General features: G+C 46.7%; 1 protein-coding gene across 20 annotated transcripts in view, besides 1 other annotated feature; it reads right to left on the bottom strand.

Annotated features, from left to right (window-relative positions):
* The window catches only part of NPAS2 (neuronal PAS domain protein 2), a 178,107-nt gene that overhangs the window by 94,841 nt on the left and 59,970 nt on the right, over positions 1 to 23,296 (bottom strand). Inside the window, exon 1 of one of the 20 annotated variants that reach the window (XM_047444504.1) lies at positions 387 to 22,856. The exons of 17 other annotated variants lie outside the window; for them this stretch is intronic. In XM_047444504.1, the coding sequence (XP_047300460.1) occupies positions 387 to 406 (20 nt within the window). In that variant the 5' untranslated portion in view covers positions 407 to 22,856. Of the gene's footprint in view, positions 1 to 386; positions 22,857 to 23,296 lie in introns of those variants that run through there. 2 more of the 20 variants (XM_047444512.1, XM_047444505.1) reach the window with 2 other exon arrangements.
* Positions 13,542 to 14,311: an enhancer, noted in NCBI's record as "H3K4me1 hESC enhancer chr2:101504140-101504909 (GRCh37/hg19 assembly coordinates)". NCBI's record gives its function as "activates a minimal SCP1, AML or CMV promoter by ChIP-STARR-seq in naive H9 embryonic stem cells {active_cell/tissue: H9 hESC(naive)}" and the evidence as "EXISTENCE:reporter gene assay evidence [ECO:0000049][PMID:30033119]".

The following is a 23,296-nucleotide window of genomic DNA, read 5'->3' as shown; positions in this document are numbered from 1 at the left end:
GTTGAGGTGATGAACCCCCAGAGTGAACAATGGAGGGATGCCGTACAGCCTTTACCCCAGATAACCATGTGTCCTACGTGGCGTAGACAGTCACGAGGTGTGTGAATCAGGGTCCCAACAGGAAAGCAGAAGGCGGGTGGGATCCTCTGAGGAGTGCTGACTTACAGGGGGGCTCTTTGTAAAGGTGTGGGTGGGGAGTAGGGAACCAAGAGGGACAGTGTGGTTACCTGAGGTGGGGAACGGCAGAGCTGTGAACACCTGTAAGGGGAAGGGACAAGAGGGAAATTACTTCCCAAACCTGGAAGGAGTGTGTCCCATAGGAGGCGGCCTTCAGTGAAGGGACAAGAAGGGAGCCAAGGGAATAAACACTCTCATTCTCCACCCACCCTCTGATCTCCTGCTGCATCTCCTTTAGCCATGTCTGCAGGATCCTCTGCACAGGGGAGCGTCAGGGAAGAGAGAAGGGAACACGCCCGGTAACATTCATCTCTCTGGGGCTCTTCCAGTTCTGGGTTTCTTGGGTTTTCCTAGAACACAAACTCTCCGGAGTCTTTTTAAGCTTTGTAACATCCCCCCCAGTTTGAAATCCAGGCATCTGCACCTAGCAACTGACCACACAAGAAATCATGATCAACAGTAACAATAATTATGGGAGCCTGATGAAAGGAGAGGCTGAGAGGGGTTCCCAGAACAACCTGAGCAACAAAATGAGTGACAACCGTATTGATTATAGCCTGTGCCACAAACTAAATACTCATGAGTCTTATTTATTTGTTTTATCGTTCCCCACCTCAGGTAACCACACTGTCCCTCTTGGTTCCCTACTCTCCACCCACACCTTTACAAAGAGCCCCCAGATAAATAAACAAATGGGGAGGTAGAAGGAGGGAGGGAGACAGCTTCCTCTTACAGAAGATTCCAATTAATAAATGTAGAAGGAACAATGGCAATAGAAAATCACCATCATGCTTCATGCTTCATGCCTGTAATCCCAGCCCTTAGGGTGGGAGAGTGGGAAGGATAGCTTGAACCCAGGAGTTTGAGACCTGCCTGGGGAATATAGTGAGGCACTGTTCTCCACAAAAAGGAAAAAGAAGAGAAGAGAAGAGGAGAAGGGAGGGGAGGGGAGGGGAAAAGAAAAGAAAAGAAAATCACCATCGGCATACCATAGTAATCATTGTTGCAGGCAAGATCCACCGATGGATGCTAAAATTAATGTGAAAAAGCTTGGGGAGAAACAGGATATTTGCAGAGTTTCAAAGTATCTCTCTCAAGGTATTTATTAATTACAAAAGAAAAACATTTTACAGGGAAGAAGGTTGGCAGACACCACTTTCACCTACTGGTCAACATTAACATCACCAGTGTTGAGTCATATAGAAGTCTCTGTGGAAATAAGCACTCGTTCCTCTTGGGTGTATATATCTAGGAGTGTCATTCTTGGAACACGGGGTAGCTGTATGCTTACTTTATTAAAAACTGCCAGGCTGTTTTCCAAAGTGAACGTACAATTTCATATTTGCACCAGTAGTGTACAAGGAGTTCCAGTGGCTCCATTCTAACATGTAATATTTCTTAATTTTAGTAATTTACGTGGGTGTGTTATGATATCTCATTGGGATTTGCATTTCCCTGATGACTAATGATGCAGAGCACTTTTCACTGGCTATTTAGATATCTTCTTTTGTAAGATGTCTAATTCTTTTGCCTGCTTAAAAAAATTGGACTGTTAGTCTTCATCATACTGATCATAGAAGTTTATCTCTACCAGGTACAAGTACTTTGTCAGAAAATATGAATGGTGAACATTTTCTCCCAGTCTGTGGGTGGCCTTGGTGCTTTTTGGATGGTGTCTTCTGATGAGCAGTTTTAAATTTTGATAAAGTCTAATTTATCAACCTTTTATTTTATGGTTAGCGATTTTTGTATTCTAAAATATATTTGCCACCTCAATGTCGTGAAGAATTATCCTATGTTTTCCTCTAGAAGCTTCATCACTTAGCTTTCACATTTTGATCCACAGTCCATTGCAACTTAAATTTTATGTGTAGTGTTGGATAGGGCTCGGACATTATTCACCACCACCCCCACCACGCCCCCAATATGGACATCCCTCCAGAATAGTTTGTTTAAAAGGCATTTATTTCCCTGTTGAATTGCATTAGCACTTTCATCAAATAGTGTGTGATCTTATATGCATTATTTATGGACTATATTTAGCTTCATTTATCCTATGTGTCTCAATTCTGCAGGACAGAATCAGGATGTCTGTGGGGTGAAAGACACATAAGATAAACTTATTAAAAAATAAACCGCATTTTTAAGAACAACTTTAGATTTACAGAAAATGCAAAGAGAGTAGAGAAAGTTCCCTTATCCCCACACCCAGTTTCCTGTTATTAACATTTTACATTAGTATGGTGCATTTGTCGCAACACTGATACCTTCTTATTAAGAAAAGTCCAGGCCAGGTGCCAGTGGCTCACACCTGTAATCCCAGCACTTTGGGAAGCCAAGGTAGGTGGATCAGCTGAGGTCAGGAGTTCGAGACCAGCCTGGGAAACACGGTGAAACCCCATCTCTACTAAAAATACAAAAATTAGCCCATGTGATGGTACACACCTGTAATCCCAGCTACTTGGGAGGGTGAGGCAGGAGAATCGCTTGAGCCTGAGAGGCAGAGGTTGCAGTGCACCGTGATCACGCCACTGCACTCCAGCTTGGGCGACAGAGCCAGACTCTGTCTCAAAAAAAAAAAAAAAAAAGAAGTCCATAATTTTCAGACAAACTTGCTCAGACTTCCTCAGTTTTTACGTAACGTCCGTTTTCCACTCTAGCACTCTATCCAGGACACCCCAGCACGCTTTGTCAGCACATCTCCTTAGACACCCCTTGGCTCTGCGAGTTTCTCAGGCCTTGACAATTTTGAGGAGTATCTGTAGAATGTTCTTCAGTTCGGGTTTGTCTGATGTTTTTCTCAAAGTCAGGCTCAGAATACGGGTTTTTGAGAGGAAGACCCAGGAAATAAAGTGTCCTTCTTATCACATCATGCTGTCAACATGGCTTGTCACTGTGGATGCCAGCCTTGGCCACCCGACTGAAGTGGCGATAAACTCACTCATAAGAGGTATGTTAGTTACATTTACATGTAATATGCACAATGTGTTTTCCTTCAACTTTCAGGTTTGTTTTTTTTTTTTTTTAGGTGAAAGACATCTAAATTTAAAGTGGTAGATCCAATTATTACGCTGAAAAAAATTATATGATTTTTGCCTGTACTTTTGGACTTAGATATATAATGAGTGAACCTGTATCAGATTAACAATTGGAGCCATTGCTTTACATTTAGAGGCCCTTCATCTGGAAATATATTGAGCATTTCACTTGAAAATATAACTCCTCTGTTGTTTAAACAAACTAACTCCATGTTTCCCAATTCCACCACACCCTTTGTCTATTGTTATGCCGGTACCACACTATCTTAACTCCTAAAGTTGTGCAGTAATTACTGACATAAATGTAGGGTGGGCCTTCCAACGTTGTTCTTATTCAAGTTTACCTTGGCCATTCTAAGTCGTTGCACAGCCACATAAATTTTAGAATTAGCTTGTCAATTTCTATAGAAATGCCTGATGCAGCTGGGTGCAGTGGCTCATGCCCATAATATCATTGCTTTGGGAGGTTGGGGCATGAGGATTGCCTGAGGCCACGAGTCGTCTGGGCAACACAGCAAGATTCCGTCTCTACAAAAAAGTAAAAATTAGCTTGTCATGGTGGTGCATACCTGTGGTCCTAGCTACTTGGGAGGATGAGGCAAGAACACTGCTTGAGCCCGGAGTTCAAGGTTACAGTGAGCACCAGCCTAAACAACAGAGTGAAACCCTGTGCCTCAAAAAAAAAAAGTGATAGCTTGATGCGATTTTGATTGAGAATGAATTGAATTTGGGGATCAATTTTAGGAAAACTAACAATGTGCAGGTCTCTGATCCATGCACCGTGTGTACTATCTCCTTCTATTTGCCTCTCCTCTTGGGCTCTGTGATGAGGCAGGAGAATGTATATGCCAAAGCACAAATGTGCCAACTGCATGTGATATACAGTGATTCAACAGATACTCCCTGAGTGCCTGGGCAAGGGGGAACCCACTGTGAGCAAAGCCGCTACTCTCATGGTGCTTACATGAGGCGGGGGATGCATGTGTCAGGGGAGTTGGGGAAAACTGCAGGCAAGCAAATAAGTAAACACAGAGCCTGTTCTTTGGTTATCACTGCAGTGCAGGAAAAGGTGAATCCTGGGTGGGACGGGGTTCGGGGAGTCTTGTTCTGATGTTTTAGGGAGTCTTGGAAGACCTCCTTGATGAGATGCTATGTGAGCTGTGACCTGAAGGGAGTGTGGGAGTGAGCAGTGAGGGTGCCTCCCCCAGACAGCAAGGAAAGCGAGGAACAGCCCAGAGGCCAGCCCGGTGATTGCTTTGGTGAGGGGGAGGTGGAGCCAGGGGCAGAGGGGCATTGTGGCTTTTGCTTTATGTGAGACGGGAAGGCACTGGAGGTTTTGAACATGAGTGACAGACACCTATCTCAGAGGACAGCGGTGAAACTTAAATGAACTTAAGTTTGCAAAGTCTGGCCTGCAGCAGACACTCAAAAACAGGTTCTCTACTTTGATGGCAAGGATTAGGCAAATTGCATCTTCACCCATTTCACGATGGCTCGCCCAGCTATGATATGGTTTGGCTGTGTCCCCACTGAAATCTCATCTTGAATTTAGTTCCCATAATCCCCATGTGTCCTGGGAGGGACCAGGTGGGAGGTAATTGAATCATGGGGGCAGTTACCCTCATGCTATTCTCATGATAGGAGTGGGTGCTCATGAGATCTGATGGTTTTATAAGGGGCTTTTCCCCATTTTGCTCAGCAATTCTCCTTCCTGCCATCATGTGAAGAAGGACGTGTTTGCTTCCCCTTCCGCCATGATTGTAAGTTTCCTGCGGCCTCCTCAGCCATGTGAACTGTGGATCAATTAAACCTCTTTTCTTTATAAAGTACCCAGTCTCAGGCAGTCCTTTATAGCAGCATGAGAATGGACTAATACAAGCTCCTTACCCATATTAGGTGCTCAATAAATGCATGAGGAATGAAGAAGAAAAGGAAGGGAGGAAGGGAGGGAGGGAGGAAAGGAAGGACAAAGCCAGGGCCAAACCCCCATCTGAATTCCTGTGCCACTACCTGACATTCACTCCCACAAACCTCCCCATGATCGTGGTGGCTCCAAGGTAATAGTGCTTACAAAGTACATTTGAAGGGACAGTTATATCCTGGTGACTAAAATTAAAACAAAAACTTCTGCATGTGCAGGAGCTACTGACTAGAGGGAAAATCCACTCAGACAGCACTGGCAGCCAGGGCTCTTCAGGAAGGCCCAATGGGTCCCTCACCAACCCCTGGCAGCTGCCAAGTTCTGAAAAAACATAATCTCATTTTGTCTCCATCAGTTCTGTGGGTGGAATGGGCTGGCTATAGTTATCCTCCACTCATAAATCAGGCAGCACCACCCCCCAGCAAGGCTAAGTGGCCTGCCCACAGACACAGGCTTGGGGACAGAGCAGACCCTGGGCTCTGCCTCCTGGCACTGACTCAGGAGGCCTTTCTCCAGCCACTGCTGCTCAGAATAGGGGGTTTCCGACTTCAGAGTCAGTCTGATTTAAATCTCCATTCCAACCTACTTGCTCTATGATCTTGAGTAGGCCCCTTAAACCTCATGAGCCCGTTCCCCTCATTCCTAACACAATGCAGCTAACACCCACCAGGCAGCAATTGTGCAAGGTGCAAACAGGAAGCAGGTCACAGGTATGTGTGCAATAAAGGACCCAGCATGATGCCTGGGGCACAGAAAGCTCTAGGTGAGTTCCATTCATTGCACACCTGCCCCACCTAACTGTCCTACCCCTTCTGTTCACACTGTGGCCACTGAGCCCCTGCTAAGGGAGGTGACACTGAGCTTCAGCCTTTCTTATCTACTTTGAATTTCAACGAACACATTCTCTGCACAGTAAGGAGGTCACCAGGGGTGAAACAGAAATGGACTCTGGGGTCACACAGACCTAAGGTTTCAGAGAGGGGCTCCTAAACAGAGACAGAAAAGGCCATATTGGTAGGAAGAGTGCCTTACAGCCAAGAGGCACCCGCAGGCAGGGGCTCCAGCTGAAGCCTGAGTCTGCCCCACCCCTAGGGACTACCTGTGGCTGCTGCAAACAGGACTGTGAGGACCACTGAGTGGGGGCATGGGGGTAAGGAGCTCTGCCAGGCCCAGTAAACAGACCAGCTGGGGAATCTAATCAAGCAAGGCCAGTGGAGCACTGAGTGTGGAGGGGCGGGGAGGAGGGCTGGAACTCCTAAGGGAATTGGCAGACAGCCACCCCTGCTGCTGGCAGGCAGAGCTACTGGGGCACACTGGGTGTCAGAGTTCCTGGGTCCAGCATCCACATCTGTGAAAGGGAGAAAGGCAGTGGTGGCCTGGGGTCAGGCGACCCAAACTGAGACCGACCCAGGCTTTGCCCTTCAGTATCTCTGTATAACCTTGGACAAGTGTGATGCTCCCAGCCCTAGCTCCCCAACTGCAAAGTGAGAGAACAGAAGAGCTTTTCTCACTGTTTGGCTGTGAGACAGCATAAGAGAGTCCAAGGGAAGCCCCCAGCACAGTCCCCGGCACAAATAAGTCATCACAAAATTGTAGCTGCAGAATTTTAATCACACTATCACTAATGATCATGAATTAAAGGGCTCACAGTAGAAACTGGTACTTAAGCCCAACAAGTGTCTTTGGGAGAAACAGGATAATCATTCCCTTCTACCAGTGTTGAAAATGTGTATGTGTGTGTGTGTACGCATGATGGACAGACAGACACACATACGCTGTCTAGAATACTGGACTAGCTAGTGATAACTGTATACAGTACCCTTGACACAGTAAACTCCATCTTAGAGAAAGACTCCATCTTACATTTTAAAAGGCACCTTGCCAACAAGACTGGATGTTTTGCCTAATCAATGAAGACTGCTTCCAACAAGGACATAACCAAGTACATTCCTCCACTCAGTCCTCACCAGAGGACTCTGCGGCCATAAGAGCAGTACTTCACCAGCTAGAAATGGCTGTCCCCACAGACTCCATCTTGCTGTCGCTTGTGATCAGCACCCAGCATCCACTGCCCAATGCTCTGCCCACATCAAAGACTCTTCCTTGTGAGACCAATGGACTGCCCAGACCAGGCCAGGACATTCTTTTTTTTTTCATGTTGCTCTCCCTGGACTGGTCCATTAACCCTTTTCTTTTGATGTTAAATGTTACTTCATTTATTGTGAAATGTTTAATCATTTATTTATTGATAAGTGTACTATTATGCATGGTTTGCAACACTGACTGACCTGTGGAGTGGCTTGAGCCTGTGTGCCCGCGGCTCTGACTCCTAAGTGAATGGGAAGTAGTAAGGGGAAGTTCCTCCTTGGGAACTCAATGGAGCTTCCAGCTTTTGTGATTGAAATCACGTCAATAAAAGTCTGACCTTGTGGAGAGACACAAACATGCATGGACCTGGTTATCACTGACCCTGAGCCGCTCATAACTAAACAGGAAAGCAACCGGCCATTGTGAGGTTGTGAGGAAGGAGAGAAGGGAATGGAATGACTATCAGGTGAAATGACTGGGGTTTTCCTTCACACAGCAGACCCTCAAAAAATCTGTTGACTCTAACTGAAGCAAAGGACAAAAGTGAAGCCTGCAAATGACATTCACACACCCAGGTGAAATTTCTGCCCCAAAGGCTTTAGAACATTCTTTCTCACAGCCACCTACTACACAACTGATTAGAATTCTGGCCCCTGGCAAATGGGGACCTGGAAATGGCAGCAGGATTATTTTGTCACGGCATATCCGCCCTGGGTCCCAAGTGCGTCAGCAGTGAGACAGAAGACTAATGAGTCATACAAGTGACAGTCTCCCCCAGGGACTAGCAGCTCACCCAGGTCTCCAGAGAGGGCCTCATGCAGCACGCACGGAAAGGCATGTTACTCCACTCATGCAGGAGGTAGCAACCCTTTTCTCCAAAGGGCCACCTGGTAACTATTTTAGGTGCAGAGCATCCAGTCTTTGTTGCAACCACTCAACTCTGCCATTATAGTGCAATGCAGCCATAGACAACATGTAAATGAGTGGGCATGGCTGTGTTTCAATAAAACTTTATTTACGAAAACAGGTTGTGGGCCAGATTTGGTCCCCAGACAGCAGTTTGCCAAACCATGTTAAAGAATCACTGGAATCATGACTAAACTTTCCTCTTCAGTGTCTTTTAATTTAGAATTTTTTGTAAAGTCTTTATAGGCCCAGTGGGTCACTTTGTATCATCATGAATTTTCCCTGAAATGACTACCCCAAGCCTGTTGTGTTGCAAGGCCTATGTTTTCACAAACATAAAATCATGATGTATTGAAATTGGCTGAGAACTGGTTTGAATTACAGGTCCCAAGTTAGCTGGAAAATCCTAACACTCTTCCCCACCATACCAACCAAGCCTGGTAGAATTTAATCAAAAGAAAAAAATACAGAAAACAAGAACAAGTTGGAATCATAAAAGGCAAAACCGAGCACACACATCTCCCCAATTGATGGGGGTTTATTTATTGCTGACAGAGTGTGTACCTTCTGTCCTCCCAGCCAGTCCCTGGTGAGGGGACCTCATGTCGTTTTGGATTAACGTCTGTATCTCACACATGGGAGCTTGGTAATGATTTTTCCTCATTATGTTAAGGAATAAAAAGCCTTTGAGCAACAGTTGCTGATGAACTGCGACGCTCACTTATCTTCCTTTGTCATTTGGGGAAGCTAGGAAATAACTTCCATATTGTGATTCTTCCTCTCCAGGGAATGGCTTTTGGTGTTGCAATGATTCATTCAGTGAGAAAAGATAAATTTCTAAGGCCAAGCACAGTGGCTCATGCCTGTAATCCCAGCACTTTGGGAGGCTGAGGTGGGAGGATCACTTGAGGTCAGGAGTTCTAGACCAGCTGGCCAACATGGTGAAACCCTGTCTCTACTGAAAATACAAAAAATTAGCCGGGTGTGTTGGTGCACGCCTGTAATCCCAGCTACTCAAGAGGCTGAGGCAGGAGAATTACTCGAACCTGAGCCAAAGGCCGCAACGAGCTGAGATCACGCCACTGCATTCCAGCCTGGGCGACAGAGCGAGACTCTGTCTCAAAAATAAATAAATAAAATAAAAAATAAATTTCTAAAGGAGATGGACAGTGAAAGCCTGAGAGCCGGCAGCTCCTGCAATCCCAATTCCCCTCCAACTAGGGAGTTCTCATCGCATTCTGGCACATTCTCTGACCTGGAAACGGCAAGGCGGACAGATCCAATCCTAACACTAGCCCTCTCCAGCCTTGTCCCAAGGAGCCGGGTCTCACAGTGCTTGCTGGAGCCTCATAGAGCCAGATGGCTAGAAGAAACCAAGACAAGACTCTCATGAGCGTCGTGACCATACGCAAACGCTACCATGAGTGTCTAAAAAACCAAGCTGAAGCTTTATCTGCCTGTTACAACCATGGTTCCTCCTTCATGATTTCCTTTTTCCAAGAATCTGATGATTCATTATTCAGAGAGAGGGTGACATATGCAGTGAAGGAATGGATGAAGAAAGTTGAAAAATTTGTTATTAAGTAAATGTACCGTAACATCGTTTGGTCAGCAAATAATTCTCAAGATAGAAACGGCCATGATATCTGGATGGAAGGGCCATCCTAACACAACATATTATTCTTGCAACCTTTGACATTTATGTTGCAATCACCTCAGGTTCCTTTTAGGGGGACTCTCTATCAAGAGTTCGGATGGCACAGTGTAAACCTGAGTCAACTGGGGACTCTGATGGGTGACAGTGTGTGGTCAGGGTGTGGACAATAGATGCCTAGAAAAATCAGCAAGAGGGGAAAAGGAGATTTACGAGTCATGCTTGGAGCTGAGTCAGTGAAAGCCTTTGTTGGAAACCGCTGTTCGGCTGCCACAGACAAGCCGAAATGAATCCACAAAATACTGCTCCAGCAAGCATCTCCCTCCATGGAACTGTTCCCCAAATGCTCCTTCAGGTCCAGAAATGCTCATCTTCACTGTGCTCAAGTTTGCAAGGAGAGAAAAAGTAGGTGCCCTTGAAACAGGAAGTCAAATTAGTTTTGGACACCTAGACTGTGGAATCTTGGGTTTAATATCAAGAGTTTCAAATAACATTTAATCAAAACGTAGGAGGTTTGATGTGAATTGCTAATTGAGGCAGCAGAATTAGTTTGGAAACTAGCCAGATCTAGGTTGAAATGTCCTCAGTGCTCTTGCCTTCACTTGTGTGGTGGCCTTGGAGCCTGGGCATGATGACCTCATCTGTAAGCTGAAGTGGACCCACTTTTCACAATCGATAGGAGAATCTGTTGGGACGCCTCATCTGGTTAATTGCCTCCCCTTCCACAGCACAGCGGTCAGAAATGGTGACTTTAGAACGAGAACAGGTGGGACCTTCAGAGCCGCAGGTCACGTGGTCAAGTATGTCCAATGCTGCACACCTTGTTGGTAGGACATACCCTCATGTTGCACCATCAGAGCTGCAGGTCACGTGGTCATGCGTGTCCAATGCTGCACACCTTGTTGGTAGAAAGCACCCTCATGTTGCACCATCTACCTTCTCCTGTCATCCTCACTTCTTTTTTTTTTTTTTTGAGATGGAGTCTCATTCTGTCGCCCAGGCTGGAGTGCAGTGGCGCAATCTTGGCTCACTGCAAGCTCCACCCCCCGGGTTCACGCCATTCTCCTGCCTCAGCCTCCCGAGTAGCTGGGACTACAGGCACCTGCCACCACGCCCGGCTAATTTTTTGTATTTTTAGTAGAGACGGGGTTTCACCGTGTTAGCCAGGATGGTCTCGATCTCCTGACCTCATGATCCACCCGCCTTGGCCTCCCAAAGTGCTGGGATTACAGGCGTGAGCCACTGCGCCTGGACCATCCTCACTTCTTTTACTTACAGTTTAAGCAGACAGCACACTGCTGGCCCTCCCTGTGCAGCCAGGGGTCTCCTGCCCACCACCCCTGCTGACTCAGCCAAGGCCAAGTCAAGCTCACGGGCTGCAAGGGGCCCCGCAGGGAGCAGATGGGACAGCACCAGCAGCAAGGAGCACTCTTCCTTCACACCCGGGACTCTCTTATGATGTATTAGATTTAACATATTCACTGTTAAAGTATCTGTGATGTTGGATCCTCCTCCACTCCTTCCACTGTCACTGTATCATGCAATTCAGCTGAGCCTGGAAGAGGCATGCAAGCAGAAGGAATGGTTTGTTCAAAGGCCCTGGGGCATGAGAAAATGGGGCATTTGGAGCCCCTCAAGTGGCTCTGAGTGGCTGGCTCCTCACTGTATTTGGGCCTGATGACCTGAGGGTACAGGGACACCTGTGGTACTGCCCAGAGCACCTGCACCTCTCCTTGCCCCGAGATTCCCCGTAGGCTAGGGTCCCTGGGAAGGCCTGCACAATTTTGTGTGGAGGTGCATTCAGGGGTAGAAACTATCAAGGAGATCAACGTTACTAAGTTTGCCACCCCTTCCCTGCACCCACCTGTCCCTATAGTCAGAGATGATGAGGGGCCTTGGCTGGGCCCTGAGGCCAGCTGAGAGCTCGCACTACCTCTGAGCCCAGCCTGCTCCCTGGACACAGCCGGCCCACTGTAGGGGACCAACATGCCTTGCAGAGGCATTATACCAGGGCTGGGGCCTAACAACCCTCAGAGACGTGACCTTGCTAGCTGTCATCCTGGTGTGTCACACTAAGATCTGGCAAAGCTACATACCTCATACAGTATGCACACAGAAGCAGGAGGGTGCCCATTTCACTCCCAATGAACCAGGAACTCACCACTGCACGCTGCCAGGAGGAGGGTGTGCACGCAAGGAAAACCTCAATCCTTCTAGTTGCTCTACATATCCCTCCCCGCCCCCGAACATGCCCACCCCACGCTCTCAATCTCAGGGGACGTCTCCAAGGCATCTACACAAATCTACACAATGATGCATTCATACGGAAAATGGCATTAATTCACCATTTTTAAAAAGTCAATTAAAAAGTAAAAAGCATTGAGATGTATCTGCTAGGTCACCAAACTGACAGGTTGCTGCTTTTCTTTTTAAAATCTGAGTTGTCTGAAAACCCTGGTTGGTTGTGTTGGATGCAGGCCCAGCTGGGAATTTGGGATCCATTGGTGATTGCTGCCTGGTGAGGCCTTTCTCCCACCACCTTGATAAAACTAGATCCTAATCCACAGAGTGAACCAACCCTAGACATGCCTCTCCCAAAACCCCAACCAGCCCAACTTCAGGATATCCGGTGTGGTAAAAATGTGTGCATGGATCAAATACACAAGAACAAAACTAATGTCAGGAAGACCAACCAGTAGGCAGAGAAGCTGGGATGTGGGGATCATAGGTCAGTAGGGAAAAAAACTGGTCGTCTCCTCGAATGTCACACGGCAAAGGGCATGTCTCTGCCTGTGCTAGAAGAGCCACTGGATACAGGGTGAACCTCAACAAACAGAAAGCCCCGTGGCAAGCCCTTCCCAAGAGCTTACAGCTCTCCCTAGTGAGGGGCTTAGGCAATGTAGGGCCGAGTATTTCCATTTTCCCTCTTCGAACACCAAGACTCAGAGTCCCATGCAGGTATTCAACAAATGTTTGCTGAATGTCTAAAGAAGAGCTACTGCCTTAATTGAGTGACAAACATTACCATCACCGGTAATGGGACAGGTAGAAATGACTGACTTTTATGTCATCTCTAGGTCATCTGGGTTTTGCCTCAGCAGGACTAGAAATCTCCAGTTTCTCAATGTCCATTCAGATATTCATGTTGTATATTAAAGATGTTTTAGATCCCTCTCCTTACATCTGTCACTCTGCCTCTGAATAATGCTGGGGAAACTGCAAGAGAAAAGAGAAGTACATATTTTTCTTTTTAAAAAGAGACTGAGTTCCTCCTTCTGCAAATGTCTAAAGAAGTGGCCCCAGTTAAGGCATAATTCACCCACTGGCCCGATTCCTCCTCCAAAGCTCTGGGTGGTGGCTTCGGGGTGTCAAGGAGAGTCCAAGACATGTCCGCCTGAGTCAGAAGTCATGGCATCAGAATTAGAAGGCACAGGCCCAGGACCCAAGGCATGTTGCTACACACAAAATCCATGAGCTTGAGAGATAAACTACACATGAAGCTCTGGCTAGTGGTTTTCTTGTACATTAGCTTATTTAATCATGACAGTCTGGGTCTGATCTTAACTATTTTCCCCTGAACAACTCTAACAGATACTATCCTATGTTCACAGGCAGCAATATAGCAATATTTCAGCAAAGAATAAAGGTAGTAACTATGGGGTGGGGGGATAACATGTACATCTACTAGCACTTCACATGGTTCCATATCGTAGCATTCAAACCCTCAGATGACAAGCTGCCAGTCTGTGACTTTAGCCCCATCCTCATCACATTGTCCCCCTCTCCAACACTTTCTACCCTACTAGCGCATCTTCCTCCGCCCCCACGGCTCATCCCTATCCTCTTCTGTTTCTGCTTCTCCTTGGCTTTAGCTGTTCACAACCCTCCCCCACTGGATGGTAAACCCCTCAAGCACAGGCATGGGTCCCACCCTCCTGGCATCTCTGCAAGTGGCTGATGTTCTTAGGGCTTAGTATAGAATATGAAGAGCTTCCATTTAGGAATCTGTGTTTAAAGTTTGGAAAGAAGCCTGGCATTGGTTCCCGCAATAATTCATCCTAATGCAGGATCTCTTCGGGAGAGGCTGAATATGGGTTGCAGGATGCCCCTGTGCTTGGACCTGGACTCAAGCCATCCTGGGTGCTGGGCCCTAACTCTGCAGACTAAGGGCAAAAAGGGCAAACAGATTCAACCACACTCACTCAGAAGACTGCCATCTGTATGACTCGGAAAGCAACTTGCTCTGCCCAGCCCCTCTGGATGAGGCTAAACAGGCTTAGCCTGCTGTGGGCAAACAAGAAAAGTAGGTCAGCTTGACAGCCCAGTTCTTCCATGGTGATGAACTAATGATGCGAATGCAGGGCCCGTTCGCGGAGAGGGGCGGTGCCGGCACCAGCCCAGGCCCTCGGCTGATCCCAGACCCAGCCTGGGTGGCTCATGCCAGCCTGTGGATGGCAGACAGGGGACCCGGGTAAGAGGAAAACCCAGAGAACACTTGGGAAGATGGCTCAAAAAAAAAAAAAGAAAAAGAAAAAACTGCAGAAAAACAACTGTGTAAATTGACACATTGCCATTTCCCTGTTATTAAAGACACATGAATTCATGTCTGTATGGTGCTGTGATACTTGCACAGGCTGCTGGGCCTGCACGGGTGCATTATAGTGATAATTTGCACGAACACTGCTGAGAAACCGTGGTGCTACCTCCCAGCTCGCCTGCATGACGTCCTCTCCCCTCACCTCTCCGTCAGCCACTGGCAATAACAAGAGGCTCACTGGAGCTGAGGACGGACTTGAGTCAGTGGTTCAGTGGTGCCAGGATTGGTGGGCACAAGGCCCCATGCCACGGAGGAGGCCACTGCTCTGTTCCTGCTGTTCCTGCATCCAGTCTGGGCTGTAGCTGTCCGACAGAAAGGCTTCCACTTCTGGCCTCTCTGGCTCAGAAGCTGGAACGCTTTGAGGGAATTCCCCTGAGTCTCAGGTGCTCTACTTATAGGAGCTAGTGTCTGGATTGGGGTTGTCTCAGGAGGGCCCAGCACAAACCTGGAGGCTAATGCTGGGGTCCTCAGGAGGCCAGTCCTGCTTCCTAGGGCTCATAAGAGGACAGTGGCCTTGCAGCCCAGGCCAACGAGGAAGCAAAGGAATCTGTTCAAATGCAGTTATGTATATTTAGAGCCCTTTCTTCCTCAAAATGCTGGACATTTTTCCCCTTTATGTCACGTTTATAACAAATGTATTAGAAGGTTCTGTCAATCAACATTTTAGAAACATTCAAATCTAAAAACTCATGACTCTGGGAATGTTTACCCCACCTCTTCCAGGAAACGACCTTGTCTGAAAGTTTTGTCTTTGGCATTTTTAAGAACTGAAGGAAAGAGCTGACATCATTTCTTCCTCCTTTCTCTCTTTCTCCTGTCCCTTGGCCTTTGTTCATGAATTCATCTAGAGGATATTAAAGGAGATGGGAAATCTACCATTTATGAAGAGAGGCAAGGACTCTCGCATAACGTGGGAACAGTCCTGAAAGATCCTGGCTTCTAATCGTGACTGTTGCTTAACTAGCTTAGGCAAGTTCCTAACCCTCTCTGCCTCAGTTTCTCCCCTTCACAGGCCATCTGTGAGACCTGAGAACACAATCCCTTAAAGCAGCTAGAATGTGGGACAGCATAAAACTCAATGAATTGTTAGCTCAGGTGGTGGCTACTATCACAATGCAAAAAAACAACTCCAAAGGCATATTTAAATGCTTCTACATTTAAATAACAGATCCTAGCTATGGACATCAACTATCTTCATATTTAAATTCCCAAGATATTCACCAGCTACCAGGGAGCCTGCAGAGCAAGTCCTTTTATGTGCAGACCTCGGGATCCAAAAGGTTGCTGGATAGGAGACCTTGGCTTGTGTAACAGTGTTTTCCTGAAGAGCTGAAGACAAACAAACTTGGGTAAAGTGAATCATACTTTAAATGTGCGAGTGGCTTGGGGGCCCACTAATTGGAGGAGTGTGGATTCCCACCCACCCTCACTAACGAGCCTTCTGCAATGCAAAACTCCAAGCTGCCAATTAGTGTGCTTAACAAAGTATCATACACCTGGTTTCCAGGCGACCACAACTCACTGCAATTTTGAAATTCTGGACAAAATAGGGAGAAGTTTGGATTTTTAAATTTTAAATAAATGATTTTACATGTCTAGCCAAATTTAACAAAATTGAAAGTGAAATGCTGTTAAAATAAATTGGCTAGCCGGGTTCGGTGGCTCATGCCTGTAATCCCAGTACTTTGGGAGGCTGAGGCAGGCAGATCACCTGAGGTCGGGAGTTTGAGGCCAGCCTGGCCAACATGGCTAGGCTGTCTCTACTAAAAATAGAAAAATTAGCCAGGTGCCTGTAATCCCAGCTACTCAGGAGGCTGAGGCAGAAGAATCACTTGAACCTGGCTGGGGGAGGTTGCAGTGAGCTAAGATCACACCATTGCATGCCAGTCTGGGTGACAGAGCAAGACTCCATCTCATAAATAAATAAATAGGCTATACATTAGTCCTACCTATGATTCAAAGCATTTCTTATAATGCAACAGCATTATCACAAAGAACGTTCCATTTACTTGACTTACTTAAGTAAGCAATTCAGGATATCTTTACCTAAATAAAGCACGAAGTTTTCAATTCCCAGAGTACCCTAAATTATAGAGTTCATTTAAAAACTATCAGATCTTTGGAACAAAACTAAATAATCATTCCAAGGCCACATACACATATACTCTTGCATGTTATAAATTTAAACAGAAATTTCATTTTTGCAACCTATTTGGAAGAAAAAGAAACCAACAAGGAAATAAATAAAAAAGTATATGTCTGGTTTAAATAAAAACATTAAAAATTTTTCTGTTTTCTGGAGAAGCAGTACATATTCATTGCAATTCATTCCCTCTTTCATTAAGAATACAAAGGATCGGCTGGGCGCGGTGGCTCACGCCTGTAATCCCAGCACTTTGGGAGGCCGAGGCAGGCGGATCATGAGGTCAGGAGACAGAGACCATCCTGGCTAACAGGGTGAAACCCCATCTCTACTAAAAATACAAAAAAAATTAGCTGGGCGTGCTGGTGGGCACCTGTAGTCCCAGCTACGCGGGAGGCTGAGGCAGGAGAATGGCGTGAACCCAGAAGGTGAAGCTTGCAGTGAGCCAAGACTGTGCCACTGCGCTCTAGCCTGGGTGAAAGAGTGAGACTCCGTCTCAAAAAAAAAAAAATTATATATATATATAAAGGATCTTAGGCCATTTTCGTTAGGGAGAGCCAAGATGTCTCTTTATATATTAAAAAAATATATTTTAAAACAAAACGGCAGAAGTACTAAGTCCTTCTAACTCTCCTAGAAATACTAATATTTTCTCCCTTCTTTACCTATACTCTTACTAAATCACTCCTTTGAGTCTTTCCTCCTTCCCATGGTTTAAACTGTGTATTCTGCCTTGCTCTGGAGAAACTATGTTCATGTCTATGTAAGAAGGACCCCAGGCTGACTCCCTCTGAGGAATGCTCCATCTCTGACCCCAAGCTTGCAAACATTTTGAGGTCATAAATCTTATATTAACAATAACACCACCACAATCTTTCTCAGCCTTGATCACAAGGAGTGAAGTCTTAATAATGTGTGTGCGAGAGCATGTATGTCACATGGCATCACAGCAGGATGTAAACTATGATAAGACAAGGGATACTTATTCAAGGGGCAGGAAGAACTGGTCCGTATCAGAGATGGTGGGGCTAGTGAGCTGTACAAGACATACACATTCCTTTATCTACTGTCTCTTATCTTGGTTGTAGAAAAACAAATGCAATAATTTTTTTTTAATCTTCTGAAGGTACTGTTTGCTTTCTGCTAAGTTCCTCAGTGCCCTTGAGACCTCTTATATGGTCAACGGGAGGAGATGAGGGTGTGGCTTGCATTTAGGCAAAGAGAAAGGAACTGAATTCAAGAACAGCCTCACAGAAACTTAAAATACTGACAAATATAGGGGTTTCACACAAAAGCAAGCAGCTTGCAAAATGCCCCACAGATCTCAGCCACAGTACTGAGTTTAGAAAACCCCATAATCCGGAATCAGGGTCAAGTTCTCTCGAGCACCTGCCCCCGGTTTTGGAGGGCATTTAAGGGACAGGACATGAAGACAGGAGTCTGGCTGTGCTCCCCACGGAAGCAAGAGCTGCTCCTCTTCTCTTTCCACAAACTCACAAGATGCTTCAGGGCCCTCTCCAGGGGTGAAACAGAAACACTTCTCTGTGTGGGCTGGGGCCTAACCAGTAGGGAGGTGTAATGAGAAGATGGGAACTGTGGTGCTGATCCATCACTGACCAGGTAGGTGGCCTCGGGGGAGGCACCAAACTTTTCTGGACTGTGGTTTCTTCATTAGGTGGAATAAGAAGTAACTTTTGTAAACTATGAAACCTCATATAAATATGAGGTTTTATAACCACCTGAAGATGGCTGTTTAGCTCATGTACTATTCTGGGCAAGAATGACCTGCACAGGTGGCTGTACAGGTAAACATGGATGGGGAAGGGTGCTAAGAACCTATGGAGACTGGGAGCGCTGGTTATGACAGAGCATTCTCCATCTGTGACTGTGCCATGGTGACAAATTAGAGCCATTCATGCTGGTCCTCTCAGCTGCAAGCAGTGGGCACATAAATCTGCAGCATCCCATGGCGTGTGGTTACCTGAAGTTCAGGTTTATGCTGCTACCGTGTGTGGCTCTGACACACCACTCTGCAAATGAGTCAGCAGGTCAGGAACCTCATTCCCACCCTCCAGTCAGGTGCTGATGTTCTTGGTTAGGAATGACTGGGCTGTGAACCTGCCCTGACCCAGCAACCTTGCCTGCACCATCTCTGACCCAGTTCACCGATAGCCTGGCATAAACCCAGTCACTGATGACAACATCTGGCCTTGGTGGATCTCAGCCAGGCATTTGTACTTTGGACTGGGGTCAGTTCAAAGATAATCATCCTTTTATTTGGAATTTAACATGAAAGAAGTAAAATAGCTACACTTGTGGGTCATCTGCTCCTGTGGTTTCTGGATGCAAATTCTTCCTCTAGCTGTGTAGGTTCCAATCCATCATAGACACTGCTGTGGAGCTGTTTCCAGCACGGGACACAAGTGATTTCAAGTGATTACCTGCTGGTTAGGTCAGTTTCCTTTTCTTACAGATGAGAGCAACTTCCATCCCCAAGACTATCTGACTTTGTGTCAGTTTCTCCTCTAAAAAGAAACACAGGTAAAAGGAGTGGGCCCCTCCCCTAGCCCAGCCGAGGAGGAACAGGTCTCAGAACAGCCACCAAACACTTTGAAGTCTTCCACAGAGAAAGTGCATGGCATGTGTGTGCGTGCATGTGTGCGTGTGAGAGAGAGACAGAGACAGAGAGAGAGACACTTCACCCAGGCAAGGCAGAGGTCGCTGACCATACCACTCTAGTGGGCCGCCTTGCTTTGTGATGTACAGCAGCTCTCTCTCCTGCCAGCAGGAAATCAGTCTTTATAAAGTGTGTTTTCGGGGACCCCATCGTTTTTTGTTTGTTTGTTTGTTTTGAGACGGAGTCTCGCTCTGTCTCCCAGGCTGGAGCGCAGTGGTGCGATCTCGGCTCACTGCAACCTCCGCCTCCCGGGTTTTACGCCATTCTCCTGCCTCAGCCTCCCGAGTAGCTGGGACTACAGGCATGCACCACCTACGCCCGGCTAATTTTTTTTGTATTTTTAGTAGAGATGGGGTTTCACTGTGTTAGCCAGGATGGTCTCGAACTCCTGACCTTGTGATCCGCCCACCTTGGCCTCCCAAAGTGCTGGGATTACAGGCATGAGCCACTGCGCCCGGCTGTTTGTTTTTTTGTTTTAAGTCAAGGAAAGAAATGGGTGGTGGTTACGCAAATCCACAAATGTGGCAAATGACACAATTCTACAGGCCCCTGTGGCAGTGCCGCCTTCCTGGGGGTGATATTGTGCTATAGTGACGTTAAGATGTTGCCACTGGGGGAAACCAGGTGGTGGGTACACTGAACTTGAACCTCTTGGTGACTTCCTTTGAATCTATAATTATTTCAAAACAAAGAATGAAAAAAGAAAGGGAAAAGCTAATGACAAGCTGAGCCATGCATTGAGGATTCCCATGGCATCAGGCTCCAAGCTGAGGCACGGGGTCTCCCCAGCCCCAGCAGTTTCAGCATACCCAATAATTACCCAGCCTGGGCTCCGGGCAGGGCACTGCGAGCACATGAGGGAGGTGGTGGGTGTCACAGAGAGCTGAAGCAGGCCCTGGACCTGGGGGAGAAGGCCCTGAATGGGGCACGTGGGAGACCAGCACTGTCCGTGGCATGTGGAGTGAGTGAAGCCCTCTGCGCCTGGACTTCCTCCCCTGTCAAACAGCTGAACAAACCAGCGATTGTTCAGAAGATAAAATGAGGAAAAGCACCTCGAAGTGTCTTGTAAATAAAGATCGACAGCAGCACTTTTTTTTTTTTTGAGATGAAGTCTCACTCTGTGGCCCAGGCTGGAGTGCAGTGCTGTGATCTCAGCTCACCGCAACCTCCGCCTCCTGGGTTCAAGTGATTCTCCTGCCTCAGCCTTCCGAGTAGCTGGGATTACAGGCACCTGCCACCACGCCTGACTAATTTTTGTATTTTTACTAGAGATGGGGTTTCGCCACGTTGGCCAGCCTGGTCTCAAACTCCTGGCCTCAAGTGATCTGCCTGCCTTGGCCTCCCAAAGTGCTGGGAGCACAGGGGTGAGCCCCCATGCCCCGGCCCAGCAGCACTTCTGAAACTCAGATGGGCACACAGGTCCCCTGGGATCTTGCTAAAGTATGGATTCTGACTGGGCGGGGGTGGGGAGGGGAGACGCTGCATTCCCAGCCAGCTTCCAGGTGAGGCGGATGCTGTGGGTACACCACTCACACTGAACAGTGATGATCCTAGGCTCGCAGGCACCACAGTCATTAAAACAGAAATCCCTGTTGGGGCCGAGGTAGGATGGGAGGGACACAAAAGGTCATCTGTTTCCACCTAAAGCTAAGACACCAGGGGCCTTTGTCCGGATGCCCAGTCCACACCTTAGGCCAACAGCGTCAGCATCCCTGGGGTGGGGCCCAAGTGTGGCTTTCTTGTGCCACCAAGTGAATCCCACGTGTCCTCGGGGTGAGAACTGCTGCTCTCGGGGTTGAGTGCAGCACCCGACAGGCACTCTACAGTCCCCTGCACTTGCTGCTTTCTTGGGCGGCCTCTTCAATTTCCTACTAGTTGTATTTATGAGTCAGTTTTTCCTGCTGAGCAAAAATACTGCTCTCCCTCCTCCCTGCTGTGCTCCTGGAGCTTCTACTCATTTCCTCTTGCCATATGTCCAGGGGTCACACAGAATGACAGCCCTCAGATTATTGTTTAAATTGAGGTAAAATTCACATAACATAGAATTAACCATTTAAAAATGTACAATTCAGTGGTGTTCACTGCATTCATAATGTTGTGCAACTACCACCTTTCTCTGGATTCAAAACCTTCTTATTTCCTCAGAGAAACAGCCTGTACCCACTGAGCTATGCTCTCACTCCCACCTCCCCCAATTCCCTGTCTCAAGGGATTTTCTTTTTCTGGATATTCACAGAGAGGGACTATACAACCTTTTGCCATGGCGTCTTTCATTTAGCATAATGCTTTCGAGGTCCCTCCACATTCGGGCATATTTCAGAATTTGCTTCCTCTTTAAGACTGAATAATATTCCTATATATATACATATGGTACCACATTTTCTTCATTCATCCACTGATGGGTGCTTGGGTCGCTTCCATATTTTGGCTATTATGAATAACGCTGCTGTGAACATTGTTCATAAGTTAACATAAGTTTCTGCAGGGACATATGTTTTCATTTCTCTTGGGTATAGACCAAGGAGTGGAACTGCTGGGTCATATGGTAATTCTATGTTTTAACGGTTTGAGGAGCCACCAAACTGTTTTCCACAGCGGCTGCACCAGTTTACATTCCTACCAGCCATGTATGAGTGTTCCAATCTCTCCATATGCTCACCAACACTTGTTATTTTCTATTTCAAAAGAATTCTTTTAAATTAAAGCCATCCGAGGGATGCAGTTGGCCTTCAGATATTGGAGCAGAGTGATCTTGTCCCCCCCAGAGGTCCCCCATTTCAGGCCAAATATCTTCAGTTGCTCCCCACTTCTTGACTGTCAAAGACACCCTGAAATGTGGTTTTCAGAAGTGGGCCCGGTGTCCCTGTGTGGAGGGACCAGCCCTCAGCCGTGCAGGCCACCAGTGGCCAACCCCAGAGCTGACTCTCCTGACCACTGATTCGGAGCCTCTCTCCTTGAGTGGCTGCTAGGACACATCTTGTCCCTTGTTGATGGTTGTTTTTTAACCTAAAAAAGTGAAATCCTTTTGCAAAGAACACAGCACCATATCCAGTGTGAAGCACGATATTAAGAAAGGCCTGGCCACAGTGAGCACTGTCTCTAAAAAGGGAATCAGGAGGTCCTGCCATTTCCCACAACATGGTCGGGCCTGGAGGACATTATGCTAAGCAAAGTAAGTCAGACACAGAAAGAAAAATACTGCATGATCTCACTTACATGCGGAATTAAAAAAACAGAGATAAGAGAAGAAAATAGTGGTTACCAGGGGTTTGGGACGGATGGAAGGAAGGGAGAGAGAAAAGGAGGAAGTAGAGTTCAAAGGATACAAAGTAGCAGGTGAGGGGGGGTCAGCAAGGCTAGAGTAACATGAGGATTGTAGTTAATAACATTGTAGTGCATTAGGAACTGTTGTTAAATAAGTATATTTTTAGCTCCTCTTGTCACACAAAAAAGTAACTGTAACATGATGGATATGTTAACTTGCTTCACTATAGTAACCCGTTTCCTGTCTATACATATCCCGTAATACGTTGTAAACCCTAAATACAATAACATTTATCTTAAAATATAATTATCAATGAAGCAAATGATTCATGTTTAGCAACATGTGCCCTGGAGATCTATTGCACCTTCATGAAAATATTTAGAAGGCTTTTTTTTTTTTTCTTTTTTTTTGAGACAGAGTCTCGCTCTGTCGCCCAGGCTGGAACACAGTGGTGCGATCTCCGCTCACTGCAACCTCCCAGGTTCAAGTGATTCTCCTGCCTCAGCCTACCAAGTAGCTGAGATTACATTGTATGCCACCATGCCTGGCTAATTTTTGTATTTTTAGTAGAGATGGGGGTTTCACCATGTTGGCGAGGCTGGTCTTGAACTCCTGACCTCAAGTGATCCACCCGCCTCAGCCTCCCAAAGTGCTGGGATTACAGGCATGAACCACCGTGCCTGGCCAGAAGGCATTTTCTTTTAAATAATTTACAGTGTCTTTAAAAAAATTAGCGGTGAACGTTTAAAACCCAGGTTATATTATTTGGACTCAGATGAATTTCAAACAAGTAAACATCTCTCCCTTATAGTTGGGTATCAGTGAGAATC

Source organism: Homo sapiens, chromosome 2 (genome assembly GCF_000001405.40).
Source record: "Homo sapiens chromosome 2, GRCh38.p14 Primary Assembly".
NCBI classification, from domain to species: domain Eukaryota; kingdom Metazoa; phylum Chordata; class Mammalia; order Primates; family Hominidae; genus Homo; species Homo sapiens.
This window is presented reverse-complemented; position numbering and strand designations above follow the sequence as displayed.